The 21,029-nt window shown below is 41.1% G+C and overlaps 3 annotated features.

The window, feature by feature from the left end:
• Positions 613 to 1,437: an enhancer, noted in NCBI's record as "OCT4-NANOG hESC enhancer chr2:137267551-137268375 (GRCh37/hg19 assembly coordinates)". NCBI's record gives its function as "activates a minimal SCP1, AML or CMV promoter by ChIP-STARR-seq in naive H9 embryonic stem cells {active_cell/tissue: H9 hESC(naive)}" and the evidence as "EXISTENCE:reporter gene assay evidence [ECO:0000049][PMID:30033119]".
• Positions 8,252 to 8,758: an enhancer, noted in NCBI's record as "NANOG hESC enhancer chr2:137275190-137275696 (GRCh37/hg19 assembly coordinates)". NCBI's record gives its function as "activates a minimal SCP1, AML or CMV promoter by ChIP-STARR-seq in primed H9 embryonic stem cells {active_cell/tissue: H9 hESC(primed)}" and the evidence as "EXISTENCE:reporter gene assay evidence [ECO:0000049][PMID:30033119]".
• Positions 18,298 to 18,498: a silencer, noted in NCBI's record as "peak3883 fragment used in MPRA reporter construct". NCBI's record gives its function as "represses an SCP1 promoter by STARR-seq MPRAs in K562 erythroleukemia cells {active_cell/tissue: K562}" and the evidence as "EXISTENCE:reporter gene assay evidence [ECO:0000049][PMID:32103011]".

The raw sequence follows: 21,029 nt of genomic DNA on the forward strand, positions 1-21,029 counted from the left end.
GGGGATGATGGAGGCAGGCATTGGAGGCAACACATGCAGAATATAAAGCTGGACACAGGTGAAAGTAGACAGATTTTAATGGGTGGTTAGCATAATGAAGTAGCTAAGACCATAGTCTTTGGAGTTATATTGGCCTGGAATTTCATGCTCCATAGCTCATCTTTTTAAAAAAATCATAGACGAGTTTACTTCCCTTCTCTGAGCCTCATTTCACCAACTGTAAAATGAGTATATCACGTTCTTCAGTGGGTGATGGTAGTTGTGAGGATTAAATGTCACGATAGTACCTGCCACATGGGAAATACCAGTAAATGGAATCAATGTAAAACATCCACCTAACCACACAAAACATAACTGGGATAGACAGTTACAAACGTGAAATTGGAAGGAAGAAAAGGAAAGGAAAGGGGTGAAACAGAAGCTGGAGCAATTAAAGTCTCTAGAACTTAGGTCAGGGAATCTGGAAAGACTTGAAAGATTAGGTTGGAAAAGGAAAAGGAAAATTGTCTTTAATTTATTGGGCTTCTATTTTGTGCACTAGATATTTTGCATACTGCGCTTCTTTTGCATATTGCACTTCATTGAATTCTCAGAACAATGCTGTAAGATATGGTATTCATCCCGTAATTTACAGATATTGACACTTTTGTGTGGTCACAGAATTATTAAGGGGTAGAGCTGAGAAGGACCCAAGGCTGTCTCATTCCAGAGCCCTGTTTTCCTCATTTGGCTAACTTCCCTCCCTCACCCAATTACAAGTGTGCGGGTACTTTAAAAACTTTGAGCTTTCTTTTCAGCTCCAAAACAATTGCTCTATCTTCTCTGATTAAAAATTCTGAATGGGGCTGGGTTAAGACACTGGCTTCACCCAGGAAGCCCCTCTAACCTACTTTGAATATATTGGCTTGTGCAAATAAAAGATGTGTTTGACTGTAAGGAACAGAAATCCCACTTAAAGTAGTTTAAACAATGAGGAAATTTACTTTTCCTTGTAATGGAAGAAAGGAGTTAGGGAAGCTTCCAGGCACAGTACCTTAATCCCCTGGACTATGGCTTTGTTTCTCTGCCAGTCTTTGAATTCCCCCATAGGCCTTATGCAAATGTGGGCTTTGTCCTAAAGGGGGCTGCCCTCAGGATTTCAAGAGGACTGCTATTAGCAAACAGCTGGGACAAGAGGTTGCTTCAGTCTATGTGAGTGAAAGAAAAATCTCTCCCTCACTCATGGACCAAATATTCCTTTTCTTCAGTCTGATTGGGCCAGTTTGTTTGTAAGTCCAATCCTGGACCAATAGCAATAAACAAGGGGAGTGCTCTGTACTAACTGGCTCAAGCCAGAGTTCCTAAACCAATCAGGGGAAAAAAGGATAGGATTATTGTGATAGGCTGATGCTAATTAGGACTCATTTCTGTAGTCAGTACTGGTACATAGACTAGTGTGAAGAGAAGCAAAATTCTAAATATGTCACATCTAGTACAGTATGGACATGACCAATCAGAATGAACACTAGCCTGAAACAACCAGTAAGTCTGTTGTGAATTAGCTGATTATCAATCCTGAATATTTAACCACAATGTGGGTTTTCATAAGGAGGAAGAAGGAAGAATGGTTCCTGGATAGGCATCCAACAGTGCCTGCTAAGTCTTTTATGTGTCTACCTGAGTGTTAGGCTTAATGGACAGCTAAGATATTCTAGTCTGACAGCTCAGTGTCTATGGCCACAGTGATTAGGCAATCTTCATTTGTAACTTGCCCTTTAAGTTAGTCTCATCTGAAAGGTGAGCCTACATTTCACCTGACCTACTCAACACCAACTCCCTCCTATGTATAGGGATGTCATAGCAAGTTAATTCAAGTTACATCTCCGTTGATGGCCAGGGCAAAACACGTAGGCAAAGCAAGTAAACCTAGGCCTTGCCTAGAGTGATCTCCCACACCAAATAAAAGTTTTAAGAAGTCCCTATCCTGTCTTTCCTTTGGTTTACTCAGTCCTAACAAATCCTAATTGGGAGCATAGGCAGCTTAAGCCAGTGGAAGGTCTGATTACAGAAGATTTTAAGAGATGTGCAGCATCACTTTCAAATGCAGGCAGTAACCCAAATTAGATTATAGAGGGATATCTTGTAAAACCCCTAATATTTATAGATAAGACTGATTAATTATGAGCTTATCAATTATTTGCATTTAATTCTTTGCTTTCAAAGTGTTTATGGTGGCTTAATACTAGTGTGTTCTGCCAACTACTTTAACCTTTCCCCAGAAATCTTGTTTGCACTAATGATTTGGACTATCAATGCCAAGTCTGAAATAATAGGGTTTTGGCCTATTCCTGATTTTGCAAGGAAGACTGAAATCTTATGTGTTCATGAAGTTAGTCTTTCGTTGGACACACAAAAGACTGGTCTTTGAGTGCTATTGTTTGGGAAGTCACCTGGAAAGGTGAGGATTTTTTTTTTTGATATTATAATTATTTTTGAAGGGGAAATGTCAAAATTTGATCTTTAAGATATATATTTTTATTTTTCAATTGACAAGTATAATTTATGTGTTTATGATGTACAACGTGCTGTTTTGATATATATGTATACATCATGGAAAGGCTAAATTAAACTATTTAATATATGCATTACTTCACGTGTTTATTTTTTGTGTTGAGAACACTTATGTACTCTCTTAGCAATTTTCAAGTACATACACAACATATTGTTATTAACCGTAGTCATGATGTATGATAGATCTCTTGAATTTATTTGTCTTGTATAACAAAATTTTGTGTCTTTGACCAACATCTCTCCAATCCTCCCAACCCCCAGCCTCTGGTAACCTCCACTTTACTGTTTCCTTGAGTTTAACTCTTTTATATTCCACGTAAGTGATATCATGCAGTACTATTCCAAATGACAGAATTTCCTTTGTTTTTAAAGGCTGAATAGTATCTTATTGTGTATATATACCACATCGTCTTTGTCTTTGTCCAACCAGTGTCTATTTGTCCATTGATGGACACTGGTTGGTTCCATAGCTTGGCTAATGTGAATAGTGCTACAATAAACATGGGAATACAGATATCTCTTTAACATACTGATGTCATATCCTTAGGATATATACCCACTAGTGGGCTTGCTGGATCATATGGTAGTTCTATTTTTAATTATTCTGAGAAATCTTCATACCATTTTCCATAATGGCTGTATTAATTTACATTCCCACTAATGGCATCAGCATATAAATGTTCCCTCCTCCCTACATACTTCCCAACACTTGTTATCTTTTGTCTTTTTAACAATAGCCATTCTAACAGGTGTGAGGTAATAGTTCATTATGGTTTTAATTTGCATTTTCCTGGTGATTAGTGATATTAAACATTTTTTCGTATACCTATTGACCACTTGTATATCTTCTTTTCAGAAATGTCTACTCAGGTCCTTTGCCCATTTTAAAATCAGGTTATTTGTTTTCTTACTGTTGAGTTGTTTGAGTGCCTTTATATATTTTGATTATTATTCCCTTATCAGATGGGTGGTTTGCAAATATTCTCTCCCATTCTGTAGGTTGTCTCTTCTCTCTGTTGATTATTTCCTTTGCTGTGTAGAAGGTTTTTAGTTTGATGTAATTCCATTTGTCTATTTTTGCTTTTGTTGCCTGTGCTTTTGTGGTCATATCCAAAAAAATCTTTGTCCAGCTGTGTCGTGGAGCTTTATACCCTTGTCTCTGAGATACATTAAATGAACACACAGAGGAGCAGTTTGCACAATCTGAATGTAAACAGTGAAATCAGTCAGGAGAAATAAGTATCCTCAAGGCTGGCAGTGTGGCCAAGTGGGAGGAGTGCTGAAATACATGGAAATCTGGGTTCTGTTCCTTGTTTTGCACTGGTTAGCCATGTGATCTTGAACAAGTCACATAGCTTTTCTGGGCTTTAGCCCAGTCTTAGTGTTTTCACTAGACCAGCAGTGGCAAACATACATGCCCACAGGGACCATATGGAAAATACATGTGAATAAAAAGGCCTGGGAAGGAAACACAACAATGAAACAGGCAACAAAACCCCAGCTTTAATATGAGACTAAGGGCTATAGGGAATGGTGGGGTCTGTGGCAGAGCACAGCTCATTCATAGGGGGAATTCCACTGAAACTGAACACAACCCTTATGTGGCCACATCTGATTTTTCTTTTAAAGAGAAGCCAGAAAATCCAGATTTTTATGTGAAATGTATTAGTTGTTAAATATTGGGTGAAACAATAAACTCTATGTAGACCAACACTCTGTGAACAAAATGACATTTTTTTCCTGGGCTGAATTCAGCTTGGGGTTGCTAATTTGCAACCTCTAGACAAGATGAACTGAGAAATATGTTTTAGGTACAGAATGCTGTGGCTCTGTGAGTTTAAGGCGAATGTCTCCTTGAAGTCGCACCATCTTAGAGTTGGAAGAGGTCTTAGCAGGTGTCTGATTTGTCTCTCAGACACCTCTCACACCATCCCTGACATTTGTTGTTTAACCTCTGGTAGCTGTTCCACAGGATGGACTTTTCTGCTGCAGGAATGGACTCTGCTGCAGGAAGCTCTTTCTTGCATTGGGAAGAAACCCCTTGGCCAACAACTTCTCTTATTGATCCTAATTCTGTCAACTGGGGCAATACAGAATACATCTTTGGTCTCTTGGGGCTTTAGATGTGGACAGGCCTGCTCCTATTTCCCTCACACAAGCCCAAGAGCACTTTCCTGGGGACAGTCAGGACTTGGAAAGGTCTTAGAACCCAGAACCTTGGGTGAGCTACAGAAAGTTTCCTAAATGAGAATTCAAACAAAATCCCTTCCACCATTACTTCATGCCATGGGGGAACACAACTTTGGGTTATTTCTGATGGAGCCAAATTTCCCTCACTTGGGGGAAAGGGGAGGAAGCTGGGCAGTGTGGATGGCAGATTCACAGCTAGCCTGTTGGGAGGCATGAGGGAAGCTGGGCTGCACATGCCCCCTTCTGAGGGTCACCACTGGTGGATCTTTGTTCTCTAGGACGAGTCAAACTGGGGGAGTCTTTTTGTCTCAGAAAGGTAGCTCTGTGACTGTGTCCACCTCTCACCTCAAGTATAACCTTAGAACACTTCCTCCCCACACAGGACAGAGCCTGGAATCACTTTCTCCTACTCAGCATCTTCCCATGCTCTTGCATACAGTAGCAGAGATGAGGGTTTTTCCAGCTGGAGGGAGGTGGGTGAAGTTTCTGCCACCTGTGACTGCACACGTGTAGTTCAGGGACTGCACGGGAGCCAGTGTCCAGACAGGGGGAGCGGAGTCTTTCAGAGAAGTGGAGGGGCTCAGCTTCTGTTCAGAGCTATTCTGTGGGGGGTGAAATACTTCTTTCTAAATGTGACTCTGCATTATAGTGGAGTCTTCATGACATATTACGGGGATAATCTTTCAGATGCTTTGTGATTCGACCCATAAGGCCAGAACAGGGAAATTAACTAGGTGTAATAAATAATATAGAATCTGGTGAATATTTAGGGTCTGGTAATGATGATAAATCAGGTTTGAAATGTTCCTTGAGGAGATGGTGAGATTCTGAGAAATGAAGCCAGGAAGATTGATTAGAACCTATTGCTGCTCAGAAAATCTACTGCAAAAAATACAGAGAGGTATTGCTAGGCTAATAGGAAAGGTGAATACAAATCCACCTTGGCCTCTAAAAACCAAATGGGTGTAATCAACAAATGTCATTGCTCTTATGGGCTAATGCATAGGAGAGCAAAAGACACCTCAAAGCACTGGAGAGTTTGATCTGTAATAGCAAAGAAAGAACACATCAAGCTTTCTATATGGTCATCATTACAATGAAGCCTCATTTATTTACTTATTAATTTGTTAGTTCATTTATTTATCTGTCCAATTTCAAGGAATGACCCCTATTGAAGAAATAAAGATTATTTTCTTAAGAGTTTGTGTCACTAAAATCTGTTCTTAGGGGCCACATACAACAAGTCCTTAAATAATGTCGTTTGGTTCAATGTCATTTTGTTATAACATTGAGGAGAAAAAAGATCAATTCTAGGCGGAGTCACTGTCTGTGTGGAGTTGGCATGCTTTCCCCATGTCTGCATGGGTTTTCTCTGGGGACTCCAGTTTCCTCTCACATCGCAAAGCTGTGCATCCCCAAGCTACATGATACTGGCATGATTGAGTGTGGGTGTGTGTGAGTGCGTCTTGGGATGGAACACTGTCCTGCCCAGGGCTGGTTTCTGCCTGACATCCTGAGCTGCTGGGATAGGCTCCAACCATCCATAACTCTGAACTGGAATAAATGGGTCAATAATTATCTTACCTGTTTTTATTAATCTATCTTTAAGTATATATAGTTCCCATTTATTTCATTGTTTAATATGAGAAGTGTTTTGGTCTTTGGAAGTTGGGTGGTGTTTTTGTGACCAGAAATATGCTGTAGGAACTTAACTCTTGTTTAATATTAATTAGCCTATGGGAAAATTGGTTTCTTTAAACATTGTTTCACTTAAAGTTGCAGTTTCCAAGAACCTACATATGATGGTCAGTGAGAACTTACTGTACTTGTTTCTCAGCATCTGGTGTGAAGATTCATATCTTACATTTGATACCGAAGCTATACTGAGTGGGGGGATTATGTTAAATGCTGATAAGTCATCCCTTTCCTTACAAATCTGTCCAACTTGATTGATGAACTTAACAGTAATGTAAAATATAAAATCTTTTGGAAATTATCTGGGAAGAGGGTAGCTTTAATTCTGTGGTATTAAAAAAAGAGGGAGAAAAGCCTTGAGCATTTGTGAATAGAGGAGGAAGCATAAAGAATGAAAATGTGGGGAGAAAGCTGTAGTTAATTATCAGTGGACCAGGGGTAAATTTGTGATAGAGCAGAGAGAAGATAGGCTTTGGGCTCAGATTGACCTGGGTCCACAATGAGCTGTGTGACCCTGGGCAAATTACTTGACTCCTCTGAGCCTCAGTTTCTGCCTGGGCAAAATGGAGAGATTATGCTTTATCTTGGGAGAATTGAAGGAGATTATGTGTGTCAGTGCCTAGTACTGAGTATGACACATGGTGGCTCCCTTCTCCCCACCTGGTGGCCTTCTAAATCTCCACATTCATCTCTGTGGTGGTTCATTTTATATGCCAATTTGGCTGGGTTATGGGATTCCTAGACATTTAGTTAAATATTATTTTCTGTGTATCTGTGAGGCTGTTTGGATGATTAACATTTAAATCAGTCAATTGAGTAAAGCAGATTGCCGTCCCTAATGTGGTGGCCTCCTCCATCAGTTGAAGGCCTGAATAGAACAAAAAGAATGACCCTGCACCATGTCAAAGAATTCTTCCTGTTTGACAACCTTCAAACTGGGATGTCGGCTTTTTTCCTGCCTTTGGACTCAAACCAAAACATCTCTTCCTGGGCCTGGAGTACTGGCCTTTGGACTAGGATATAAACCATTGACTCGCTGGGGTCTCCAGCTTGCTGACTCACCCTGCAGATCTTGGCAGTTGTCAGTCTTTATAATTATGTGGGCCAATTCTTTATAGTAAATTTTTCTCTCTTTCTACATATATATGACATATATGAGATTTATAAGTATATCATATTTATAAATATACACACACACATATATAAGTGTATCCTATTGGTTCTGTTTCCCTGGAGAACTCTAATACAACCTTGTTCAGTCCCTTAAACATAATGAGCTTTATTATTTGTTGGTTAATACACAGAGCCAGGGAGTCAGAGAGCATACTCCAAAATCTAGATGACAGACAGGCAACCTTAACACTGCTGTCTCATCTCTTCATTTGGAACCTAGGGCCTTTTGTGGGAGCTCGGTGGAGCAGCATGCTGCAGGGAAGGTGTACAGTGCGAGACAGACTCTTCACTCTTCTCCCACGCATGTGCACACATGGGCACCGCATGCCAGGCAGAGCTGGGTTTGTGTGTGTTCCAGCATCTTCCCTTTATTCTTTCCCCCTCCCAAAGTGAAGAGAGCTGATGGTGGCAAACCGGGTTCCAAATTAAAAACCAGAAACTTAAGAAATTTTTCTCTCTTCCTCCTTTTCTTAATGTGAAGTATGAATTAGAAATGCCAATTCTGTGTAAATTATCTGATTAAACATGACATCCGTGTGCTCAATGGTTAGACTTGCCAAGAAACGCGAGGCAAGCTGGTAATGGTTTTCCTAATTTACTCGAGGATAAATAGTGCAGGAAGCTCATCAGATAGGTCTGCAGATAGATTTGAATGAATTAGATCCTCAGTGCTTTGGAAGTGGTGATGAAGGAGGAAAAATATTGCTACGAAACTGGTTTAACTGCTAAAGAAATCTGGAGCTGCAAAAAGCCACGTTAAAAATCACATCACAGATTTGTCTTCAGCCAAAAAAGGAAATGGAGAGTTAAAGAAAAACTTCCCTCTCAGACTTGGTTCTATTAATCAGCTTCCATACTGGGCAGTCTGTTTAAAGATTGGCCCATTAAGGCTATTGTGCACTAATGAGACCCTTCCCCAATGGGCCATCCTGGTGTGTGGCTGCACTGTTTGACAGGAAGTGGATTATCATAAGAAGGAGTCTCATAGATGAACAGTGGTATGTCACCACAAGAGTTTCTAAAAATATGCCTGCTGTCTTCAATTGGCTGCAAATTACCAGCAGTTGAAGGCATCGGGGGTATTTTATGACAGATAAATATGCAGTTAAGAAGGCTGCTATTCCTGAAAGGGGATGGAATGGACAACTACCTTTGGAATGTGTTTTGTTTTCAAACACTTCCCTGATTAAATCACCAGATTGCAGCCCTGGAATCTTTCTACTGGTTACTTCTTTGAGGTGTAAAGGTGTGAAACCATGATCACCCATGAATGTCTGAGTACAAATTCATTGATTAGCTCTGTCATCAGCTGGGTCCTGAGGGAATGGTGTGAATGGGAGACCATCACAGTATCTCATTATCTTCCCTCTCTTTTCTATTCCTTTCTTCTCTTCCTTCCTTTCTTCTCTTTCTTCCTTTCTTCCCTCCCTCCCTCCCTTCCTCCCTTCCTCCCTTTTTTCCTTTCCTTCTACAAATATGAGTCAAGCAATGTTCTAGGCTCTAGTACAGCAGTGAACACCAAAGAAAAAACCACTGCCCTTGTGTTACGGTGCTTGCCATCCTCTGTGTGTGTGTGTGTGTGTGTGTGTGTGTGTGTGTGTGTGTGTGTGTAGGGGGAGACAGACACCAAAACAAATACGTATTTTTTGTTTATGTACACATAACTGTATATGTACGTGCCAGTTTTTTTGTCATTTAAAAGCTTATTCTGTGATCAATCAGATATTAGAAGACTAAGCTGAGGCATTTAAGGCCCCAAAGATTTTCCCAGAACTCCCCACTATCTCAAAGAGTGGTAAAAGGGCACAAACAACTACAAATTATCTGTTGTTTGTTCTCCAAATTTATTGCCCTGGGAGACCTCTGAGGAGGAGAGTAAGATGGCAGGCTGGAGGACATGAGACGGTTGTTATTTCAAATTCGAAAATACTCCTGAAGAACTGAAGGACCCCCTAAAGGACAAATAGGTCTTTAATGTCAAAAACCTTCTAAGGTTTGGTTCAGGGCAGGTTGGTCCTGGAGGCCACTTGAGGCTCATACTCACCTTGATTTAGGTCAGTGGTTCTCAAGGTGTCTAAGGTAAGGTCTGCTCATCTGCCTGTCACCTAGAGGGTTAATTACCTGTTGCTGTGGAAATTTGAGTCACCTGGTGTCTTTATTTCATGTTGCTGTGTAATAAATTTCCACAAACTTAGCAGCTTTAAACAACACACATCTGTTATTGCAGTGTTCGTGGATGAGGAGCCTGGGCGCAGCTCAGGGGGGTCCTCTGCTTAGTTCCTTACAAGGCTGTGACTGATGAGAGGCTGCCTGGCCTGCATTCTCTTCTAATCGTTAGGCTGTGGAAAGATCCACTTCCAAGTTCTCTCAGGTTGCTGACAGAATTCGCATCCTTGGGATTGTCCAGTGAGGGTCATGACTTTTTGCTAGCTGAATGCGGGAGGCTGCCTCAGCTACCAAAGACTGCCTGCAGTTCCTAGAGGCCACCTGTAGTTCCTGACACATGGGCTTTTCCAGCATGGCCTTTTAGTTCATCAAACCAGCAAGGAGGACCTCTTGAGCAAGGGTCTTCTAGTAAATGGAGTCTTACATACCATAACCTAATCACAGGAGGGATACTCTATCACCTTTGCCATATTCTATTGGTTAGAAGCGAGCCACAGGTCCCATCTGGGAGTTATACCAAAGTGTGAATAACAGAAAGGGAGTCTGCTTTGTTTGTCATAAATGCAAGTTCCTAGGCTCACTCTGGACTGACTAAATCAGTGTTTCTGGGGTGGGGCCCAGGAACCTGCATTTACTCAACTCCGCAAGTGCTTTCTTGTGCACATTATGGTTGGAAAAGCTGAGGGAAAACATGGACTTGGGATAGCTTCAAATTCCACTAAGCAATGTGGGATACCTGGTGTTCCTTCCTGCTAGTTCTTCTGAGGGGCTCCCAAGGCAGTTGTAGTGCTGACCGGAGGCCACGTGGGGATGGATCTGTGAAGCCATCTTGACAGATAGCTCAGCACCTGAGGGATGGGAGTGCATTCACAGCTCATCTGTGTGGAGTCAGTTCAATGCTTAGTGACCATTTAAAAATACGGCCTGTCTGAGAATGTGGTCTCTAAATTCCATATCCCTGGGCATTTAAAAACCTGTACATGAATATGTTTATAGCAGCCTTATTCATGATAGTTGAAACTGGAAACAGATGCCCTTCAATAGTAAGGAGTTAAACTATGACACATCCGTAGCATAGAATACTGCTCAGCAATAAAAAAGAACTATCAATACACCAATAAACTATTGATATACACAGCAACTTGGACAAATAGCTAGGAAAGTCTTCTGAGAAAACACAGCCAATCCTGAGAAGTTACTCTATTACTCCACTTATACAACATTTAGAAATGACAAATGTTAGAAATGGTAGACAGGTTTAGTGGTTGCCAGAGGTTAGCGACAAAGTGGAAGGGGTGGTGAGAGGGAGATGGGTGAGATCATAAAAGGGCAATGCCAGGGATTCTTGGTGTTGGAACTGAACTGTTAATTACTATGATTGTGGACATGTGAACCTACACAGGTGGTAAAATTGTATAGAACTTAATCTGCATACAAATGAGTACAAATGAACTGGGAAATCTGAAAAAGATTGGTACATTGTATGAATGTCTATATCCTGGTTGTGATAGTACAGTAGAGTTTTGCAAAATGTTACCATTGGGGGAAACTGAGAAAAGTATACAAGGGATCTTTCTGTATTATTTCTTACAACTGAATGTGAATCTATAGTTATCTCAAAAAAATTTTAATGAAAAAAATAGGGCCTGGACTTGCCCTCATTTTTGCTGGCCCTTGCCCATCTGGAGTAGGTAGTTGTTAAAATTTACCTTTTCTTTCTTCCTGTACAACCACCCCCTCCGGGGGGAGGAGTTCTCAGCTTTAGATCAGTTCTCTCCTTTTTCTACAGAAATTGTTCTCCTCAGGTGACTGCCATTCTTGGGTGAGAGCTTTGGCCACAGAAAACTCAGAAGTCTGAGAAATGAAATTTCTTGGGTTGGGGTTAAGTGGAACCTTGCCTCTTCTTATCTCAGGGCCATAGCCTGCAGCTTCAAAAAAACAAGAGAAAAAGCGTGACTCCAAAGCCACACCCCTTGCATAGCTTTCTCTCAGCATCCACTGAAGAATTAGTATGTTGTACCCATCTCAAGATAGACTCACTCCCTATAGCCTCATTCCACCATGTGACGCCGAGGTTAGTGGCATAGTTATCTGTCTCCCTAGTTACATCAGGAAATTGTGGATTGGCACTCTGTCCCATTCCTCTCTGTACCCCTTAGCACACAATGGTGTTCAATAAATGTCTGTTGAATGAATGAATGTTGAACCTGACTTCATTACTGTTCAGTTCCACTGGAGGGAGGAGAGGGGCAGACACAGTGGTTCTTTAGGAGACATGCTATGTGGATATTCTTGTCAAGATTTATTTCTCAAGGCTGGAATCAGTGTCAACACGATATTTTTTTTTTTTTCCCTTTGATTTGCATTTCAGGAGTAAGTTCCTGCTGAGCAATTCTAAAAGAATGGTTAAGAGGAATTTTGGGCCAGGGACTTGAAGAGGGGAGTTTTCTTAGCCTTTGAAAGCTGTCCCTTCTGATTTCTGAATATTTGGAAAAGAGTTCTATAAGAAAAATTGAAGTAAAGGATTGGGCCCTGTGTGGCTGACAGCCTCACCATTCTCCTCAGGCCGACTGTCTGCACCCCTCCTCTGAGCTGTTTCCAGGGAACTGACTCATCCAAGATGTTTTGCAAATTCTTCTTGATTGATAGGTTGAAGCAGCACCCCATCTTCTCAGCATCTCTGTAAGGCCAGCTCTGCATGCAACAAATTGCTTCCTTCCTTCAAAATTTTGAAACTTTCACTTCATGAATTCTTGAATAAAACGTCTTCAGCCGAGTGAAGAATAACAGCAGAAATATCAACCAGCCTGTTGACAAGGAAAGAGGGTTGCGTTTGGGGTCTCTAAGGATGCATGCTCCAAACGTCAAAGTTTAGGTCTCTGGCCCAATCATCCTAATATCTGTGAGCACTAGCCTACTCAGGCAGTTGCACTATGTTTTTTTGTTTTGTTGTGTTTTGTTTTTGTTTTTGTTTCGCCTTAGTGGGACAGTAATTCTCCAGCTGGCAGCTTTATGTGATTAGAAGTGGAGAGGCAGGAGGACTTGCCCCTTATTACTCCTCCGGTGTTTGGGTAAAATGACGTCTCTCCTCCCTTCTCACTGTGCTTCTCCTTGCATTGCTTCAGGGTGCAGGCCTGTGGGTTTCCTTACCTTGATGGCCACTAGGACTGATGGTGCCCTGGGCTGTCTGGTTGGTCATCGGGAGCAAACTCTACTGTAAAAGGTACCCGTGCATGGGGGCACATACTTGTTCACCTTCTGGATTTATGTAGGTGAGTTCCTTAATGGAGAATATGCAATGTTATTGTGGGACAGTGATGATGATGGTGCCTCTAGGTGAGGTGTTAGGAACCAAAAGTACCAGATAACCATAGTGAGCAGTTGCTAGACTGTAGATCCCAGTGGGGTGGGAGAAGGAAAGGAGGCTGCCTAGAGTTGCTGTAGGAGATCTGTAAGGAAACATTATAGGTCAAATCAACACTATGCTAGACCTATGTGTATAAGTCATGTAAAATCCTAGCATCCAGAATAACGGGGATAGGAATTTCAGGACTTGGCAGTCTCTTTTGAAAATGCCGAAGGGTAGATGTGGGGTGGGTGGCAAGCATATTTGGTCGGAAAATCTTTCTCTTCGCTCTCTGTAAATTCCCACAGGCTTTCTCTGACACCTTGCCTGGAGATGATCTCTCTCCACCAGCCTCTGCTGACCGGCTTATTATTGTGTGCATCAACTCAGCCTCTCTCACTTCTTTGGACTGAGTCAGCTCTGCCGCCCGCTGCTTAGTCCTGACTAGGAATTTGCCAGAGGAGAGCACAGGCCTGGACCAGTAGGTTAGAGTCCTTGCTCTCTGGAGGGGCCGTGGTTTGGGGATGTCAGAGAGAAGGAGGAAAGATTGAATGCCATATAATTTAAAACATTTTCTTTTATCCCTGATACATGCTTAGCTCTATCTCAAGTGTGTGTAGAGTACTGTTATGATTTACATAATATAAAGCTATTTAGAGGGTCACTGAATTTATAGAAACTTTTCATCATTTACATTTTTCTAATCAATAGATATTAAAAGGACAAGTACTATCAAGTAGGAGTGTGTGAAATTTTTAGGTATTATTATAACAGTTTTCTTATTCTTAAAGGAGGTGGGGAAGCTATAGGTTGAAAGCTGCCACTTTTATTTTTTTGGAATAACTTTCTGAAGTGTTACTTGTGCTTTTAAAAATGTTTTGAACGTTAGCTTTTTTTTCTGACTTAGTGAAACCAATTTGAGGGTAAATTGTGTCACTCTGTGGTATACTTGTAACATGAGAGGAGTGATTAATCAAAATAATATCCCTAATGAAACAGTAGCTATAGGCAATGATTGTCAGTGGCCACCAAAAACACTGGGTGAAAGGTCATGTGAGAGATTTTTAATGAATGGACTAGGCTGGCATCATCTGAACCTATCACTGATTATCTCTAAAAGTTAGACAGTCAGACATTCTATGCCTTCTGATGTGATTCAATAGGAAGTCACAGCATTAGCTATGTCATCTTGTGGCTAAAAATACTGAACCTAGATATAGTTAAGTTTCTAGATCCAACTACCAGTTATATGGGATGCAGAGGAAAGGGAAGCATATTGGATGGCACTCCAAGGATGCATTCAGCCACTGAATAAATGACTATTCAAATAATAAAGGGCATAGGGAAGAATGGGAGAGAAATCCGTTTTGGATAAATAGAGACTTAAAAGGCTAACAAAACAAATGCTATGTGTGGACTTTGGATCCTGATTTGAACCAATTAACTATAAAAATATATTTTTGAGATGATAATGGAAGATTAAGGCAAGTTATTAGATGATAGTAAGAAGTTTCTATTTTAGTAGGTAACAATATTGTAGTGATGTTAAAAAGAAAAAAGTTCCAATTACTTAAAGATACTTGCTGATATATTTATAGGTAAAATAATAAGAGTTCTAGGATTGGCTTTGAAACACAATAACAAAAAAGGTGGTGTAGAGATGAAATAAAAATAGCAGGACTAGACAGGCATGGTAGCTAACACCTGTAATCCCAGCACTTTGGGAGGCCAAGGCGGGCAGATCACTTGAGGTCAGGAGTTCGAGACCAGCCTGGCCAACATAGTGAAATCCCGTCTCTACTAAAAATACAAAAATTAGCCGGGACTTGTGGGCACCTGTAATCTCAGCTACTCGAGAGGTTGAGGCAGGAGAATCACTTGAGCCCAGGAGGCAGAGGTTGCAGTGAACAGACATTATGGCACTGTACTCCAGTCTGGGCGAAAGGATGAGACTCAGTCGCAAACAAAAACAAAATAGCAGGATTGTCCATAATTATTGCAGCTGGGGATAAGCACCTGAGGGTTCATATTCTATTTTTTCTATTTTGTATGTTGTTTGAAAACCTGCATAACACATGGTTAAAGTCTAATTGAAACAAGTTCTAGTTTTTATTTTTAGGTCTCAGAGAAATGAAGCAGAGGACATACGTTATAGAATCGGCTATGCCTCTTATCGATGCTTTTATTTTTCTTTCTTAAGAATATGTTTTAAAGGTGTCTATAAGATTAGAAGATGAGAATGCTGTAGACACAGGCTTTGGCTATCTCAGGTGAGGGGAGCAAGGGTTCTGAGAAGGTGGTGGTAATGGTTGGTCAGATGGCCAAGTGCAGGAGGGCCAGTGCCAATTTAACCGAGGATTGTTGGGGGCATGTTTCTTTCTAATATATTTCCCTTTTCTGCTAAACTTGAGGCTGGGCGCTATGTCTCAGTTATTGACCTATCCTTATTCCTTTCCAGAGTGGTAGTGAAAATTTTAGGCACTTAATGCAATATCAACTTGATAAATAATTAAATTTTAATGAATTGGCATCAACTTTTTGTATGAGTGATGTAGTTAAGGCTTTAACAAATGGTTAATGCAGTGAGTAGGCTGTTCTAAACAAATCCTTAGTCTTGAAGACCAAACAGCCACTATTAGGTGTGGAGAACATTATGCCAGATAAATATGTCATCTTCATTATGGTTCGGCACGGGGCTGTTTTTAGATGGAGTCACTGTACCTGCTTTTCAGCCTCATGAATCCCCATTATGATCTCCCTGGTTATAACAAACACACATAATGCTAAAGATACTACTTTCTTAGGGACAGCGTTACAGCATGGAGACACAAGATTACTTGTAAATGAGGAGACAAAAGAAGCTTCAATAAAATTACTTCCTATCAAGCGTAATAAACCTGTACAATAAGTTATTAAGTACCTTTAAGGCAGCTCACATTAATGATCCATCGAGACAACTACATGAGATTTTAAGTAAAATAGAAAAAGAGAATACAGATGAATGTAAAGAAAAGAGGAGAATGGAAAATGAAGAAAACAAAGAGAAGCAGGTATGATGGAAATTGCCCTGCCATCCTGAAGCAATGGTGAAAGCAAATCTAATGAGTTTCTCTGCTTTCAGTTTTAAAAATAAGACACATTTCTCAAATATGAAATGCAGTCCATTATCTGTCAGTAGTGTTCTGAGTTGTCTTCAGGCAGCAAATATATGCCATAAAATAAACTTCAAACTCCCCACTCCTCCTTTTGAGGGGTGGCACAAATTTAGCCTGCTTGGAAAATTGGTTATTGATGACAGTTTTTATAGTCTAACTAGAGAAATTCATTGATGGATGTGATATGATGTGATGTGTGTGTGTGGCAGTTCATAGATTTTATGATGAAAACTTTTAACATCTCTGAAACCAAGGTGTGTGTATCAGGGTTTAATTAGTAGCATTTTTTTCTTGATGAATTACAAAATTGTGTAGAATATTATAATCAGCCATGTCTTATATTGTAAATTTGATCTTGATGAATTATAAAATTGTGTAGACTATTATAATCAGCCACATCTTAAATTGTAAATTTGATTTATTTGAGGGGGGAGAAGGAAGAGTATAGAAGAAATGGAAGAAAATGTGATGTCCTATGTAATGGCATAATTTAGAAAAACTTTTTAAAAACTTTAATTCCTACTTTTTGTTTGTATGACTATTTAGGGATAAAAGTCCCATTTGCTTATGTTCCTTAGAGGGACCCATGAAAATTGTTCAATTCTTCCTTCTGAATGGTCCTTCACTTTTTTCTCTTACCTTTTCTCTGCTTCTTGTATACTTGTAATTTTGGCTTGCCAAGCTTCACATGCACAACTTTCCAAAAGGTGTTTATGACTTAGATCAACCATTGATTTGAGAAGAATTAGCTGTGACAAGATATAAAGACAGCACCCAGATCTGTACCATAAGGTGGAACACAGATGCCCCTTAATATCTTCATGAATACCGCTTCGGCTACACCCAAACATGCTTATATGTGGCCTACAAGCTGTGCTTCTGCTTCCATTTCTCACAACTGATTTCTGGTTTTCTGGGTACTTGCTCATGTTAGATGCCACACAGCAGCAAAGTTCAGTTCAGCAGCTATGAGAAAAAGGGGCCTTGGCTCTGCCCCACAGAAGTGAATAGCTTTTAACCCTTTAAAGCAATTCCTTTTGTTCCTTTGCAGCTGTAGGTCTTGTAGATTTCCACTGAGAGCTGGGGACATTAACCATTGTGGGCTCAGTTGGCCAGTTATCAGTCACACGGAGAGGAAGTGAAGCTGGAAACCCCAATGCCTGGCACCCTCAGGTCAGGAGGCTTGAATATCGATTTGTGATGTAGGCCCAGGTTTTGTGAGACAACGAGTCTCAGATGAACAGGTGATAGGACCATAGCAGGGACTGGCTCAGCAATGTGGAACTGCCAGAGGGTGTGGGGGAGAGGCCAAAGTCATCTGTTTGGATACTGGTTGCTGAAAATCAGATGAATTTGGACAATAGGTGAAAGAAAGCAGCATCAGTCTCTGGCTGTATCTATCACCCAAACAACTGGCAAAAATTCAGTGAAAAATATTCATTGAGGCAATTGAACAAAATCAGTGTCTGCAAGGCTTAAGAGTTCTGGGCATACACTCACTGCAGGCAGTGGATGCTTTCTAAAGCATCTAGTTTAGAAATCTAGTGATGTTCACTTGTGTTCTATGCAAATGTCCTTTATACATCCATATAGTTACTGTTTCATCAGACTCAATCATTCCTCTCCAGAAACCAAACAAAATGTCACCTCCCCCTTGGAGAGATTTAGTCATTGACAGAAACATAATTTCACTTACCCAGCAAGAGAAATGTTGACACCGACAAGAAGATAGTACCTTTTACCTTCAAAACTGTTTTATAGGAAACCATTTAAGCTAAAATAGCTTTTTCTTCCATTTTCTCCATTTTATCAGCAATGATTACCCCCTTTGCTGTTCCAATGACCCTGCCATGTCAAACCACGCCCACAGTGCCTGAGACTGATCTGATTGATCTCTGGTTTAAAATGAAGATTAAACACACATGGGCCAGGTCTTAGGGTTGGGGCACCTGAGAGGATCTTGGGCAAAGGTTTAGTATCCTGGCAAGGTTGGCTTTGTAGCTGTGAGGGGATGTTCATGTGAGGGAAACATGAAAGCTCAGTGCACTGACAGCCCCCATGCCGGGCCTGCCTCTGTATCAACACTGCGTTGAACAAAGTCATTGCAAGGAAAAGAGCTGTCCCAGGTCCTGAAAAAGGACTCACAAGAGAGCAGGAGAAAGCCAAGGAGAGTAGCAACAAAGTGGGCCATATGTGTGTGTCCCCATCTGGAGGCAGATATCTTTGTGGTTAGGAGGGCACCTTGGGGGTCCTGTTGCCTATCTTTAAATCCCAGTGCACCATACCACACTTTCTGGGCTCTGGGAACATTGGTGAGCCTCTAATTCTCTTCGAGCATTATCTGTAAAATGAGGATAATAATGATTCCTTCTTCACCCGGGGCTTTGAAGATAATGCACGTACATCATTTAGCTCAGTTCCTGTCACATAGTAAGTGCTCAATAAATGTTACACTAGCTTTTTATTCCTTCATCAATCATATCGGCCTTTCTCATCAGTCTGTGAACTCTCCTGGAACGAGAATTCTATCTTATTCATCATTTGACTCTCGCATCTTCCTTCACCTCTTCGCAACCTTAGAACAACCTCGAGGCAGTCTCTCTCCTTGCTCCCATAACATGGCTCTCTCCTGGTTCATCTCAGACCTCACTGGCTATTCCTTCCCGGTTTTCTTTGCTGCATTTTTCCTCCACTAGATCTCTAAATGTCAGCTTTTTCCTTGGACTTTTCCTCCCCTTTTACTCACTCTCCAAACTCTAAAATAGATATTTTCTGAGCTGAAATCTTCTCTGGATCCTAGACTCACATAGCCTAATTTTTACTAGACACTTCTGCTCAGAGGTCTCAGAGCAAGTTGGATTTCAGAAACTACCGGTTCAAAATAAAAATTATCGTTTCCTTTTCTTCCCTTATCAAATCATCTCAGTATCTGGCTCCACTATCCATCTAATTTCTGAAGCAGAAACCTAGCAGTCTAATTCTTGTTCTCTTCCCATAGCTAATCTATTAGCAAGTCCTTGTGGTTCAGTCTCCAAGGACCTCAGAACCAGCAACTTCCCTCCACCTCTCTGCCACCACTCGAATCCAGGCTGTCTTCATCTCTCTCTTGGAATGTGCAGGAGCTCTCTAACTGTTCTTTCTGTCTCTACCCATGACTTCTGACAGTCCACTTACCATGTGCAGACAGAGAAATATTTTAAGATAACAATCGAATTACATCCTCACCTTGATGAAATTCATCATGATTTTCCATTCCATATAGCATAATGCCCAGGGTCCCCAAAAGGGCCTACAAAGGCCCACAGTCTCTGGCCCTGCCCCTGCCTATTTCTCAAGCATCCTGGCACTTGCTTCTTCCCCTCACTCCCCATTCTCCAGTCTGGTGAGCCTTCTTCACACTGGTTTCATGTCTGGAATCTTTTCTTGGTTGTTCCTGCTGCTTGGGAGCCTTTTCTCCCAGCTGCCGTGGCTGCTTCTCTGGCTCTCCAGATCTTGTTTTGAACGTTGTCTTCTAGTGCAGCCCACCCTTCTCCTAGTGTGCTCTGTTCCAGCCTCCTGTTGATTGCCTTCACAGCACATTCCACAATTTGCAATTTGTAATTCTTTTATTTAATTGCCTTGTGTCTCTTTCTGTCACTGAGACACACTGAGGTATCCCTAGTGCCTAGCATAATGCCCAGCACATAGTAGGACTCCACAAATCCTTGGCAATTGAGTGACTCCAACAAAGTGCTTTGGAGAGGTGCTTTGAATGATTGAGCGAAGTTAGTGATATCTAAAAGTGTGTGGTTCTTTTTGGGTGATTGCATTGTTGTCAAGAGAGAAAGTGTCAAGGCTGAGGAAGGCACATGGTTTAAAGGAAAGACTGGAGGCTTTGGGGGTATAGCTTGAGTCTGCCTCTTATTAGCTGTGTGAACTTGGGAGTGTTTCTTCACCACTCCCAGCTTTAATTTTCTTATCTGTAAAATGGGGGTTAAACATGTGTATGTCAGAGAGCATCATGAATATTAAATGAGGTAATGTATGTAAATCCTCTGGCACAGAGCTGGCACACGGAGGTACTTGATAATCTGGGCATTTCATTCCTTCTACCAAATAAAAACTCCATGGAGTTGCAGGCATCAGTGAGCTGGGAAGAAAGGTACTTTTGGAGGAGAGAGGCTGTCTGGGTGCTAGCTCTCTCCCAAGCCTCATCCTCTGCTCTTTCCCCCAAATCACATTGTATCAGGAATCTCAGATAAGTACAGGAAGCACATTTTGCCAGCAGTGAAGATTGCTAGTCATTGTAGGACACATGGACCAGATAATTGCCCTTGTTTCTCCTTCCTTGAAGTTGCAAATTTCAAATGTAAAGTTCTCAGATCCCTCAGTTTGGAATATGAGTGTATTTTGGGGTGAAACTCAGTGTCATTTTTTTTCCTATTTTTTTCCAGTTAAGTTTTACAATACCCTCCTGACTCCCACCTCCATTGTTTGCAAAGCTTGCTCAGATGAATGTGAGGAGGCCTCTAAGAGCTCCTAACCATATTTCACTAAGTGGCTCTATCCACTGTTGTTTCCATGTCTCCTTTTAAAGATGTTCCCTTTGTCCAAAAATCTGCTCTTTGCTCTTCACCCTGTTCCTTGAGCAGGTAGAGAGAATTTTATCTTATTCTCTCTGCATCAAGGCTGCATTGAACAAAGTCATTGCAAGGAGAAGAGCTGTCCCAAGTCCTGAAAAAGGACACACTTTCATGGGATCTTAGCTGCTCCCT

This window comes from Homo sapiens, chromosome 2, assembly GCF_000001405.40.
Source record: "Homo sapiens chromosome 2, GRCh38.p14 Primary Assembly".
NCBI classification, from domain to species: Eukaryota; Metazoa; Chordata; class Mammalia; order Primates; family Hominidae; genus Homo; species Homo sapiens.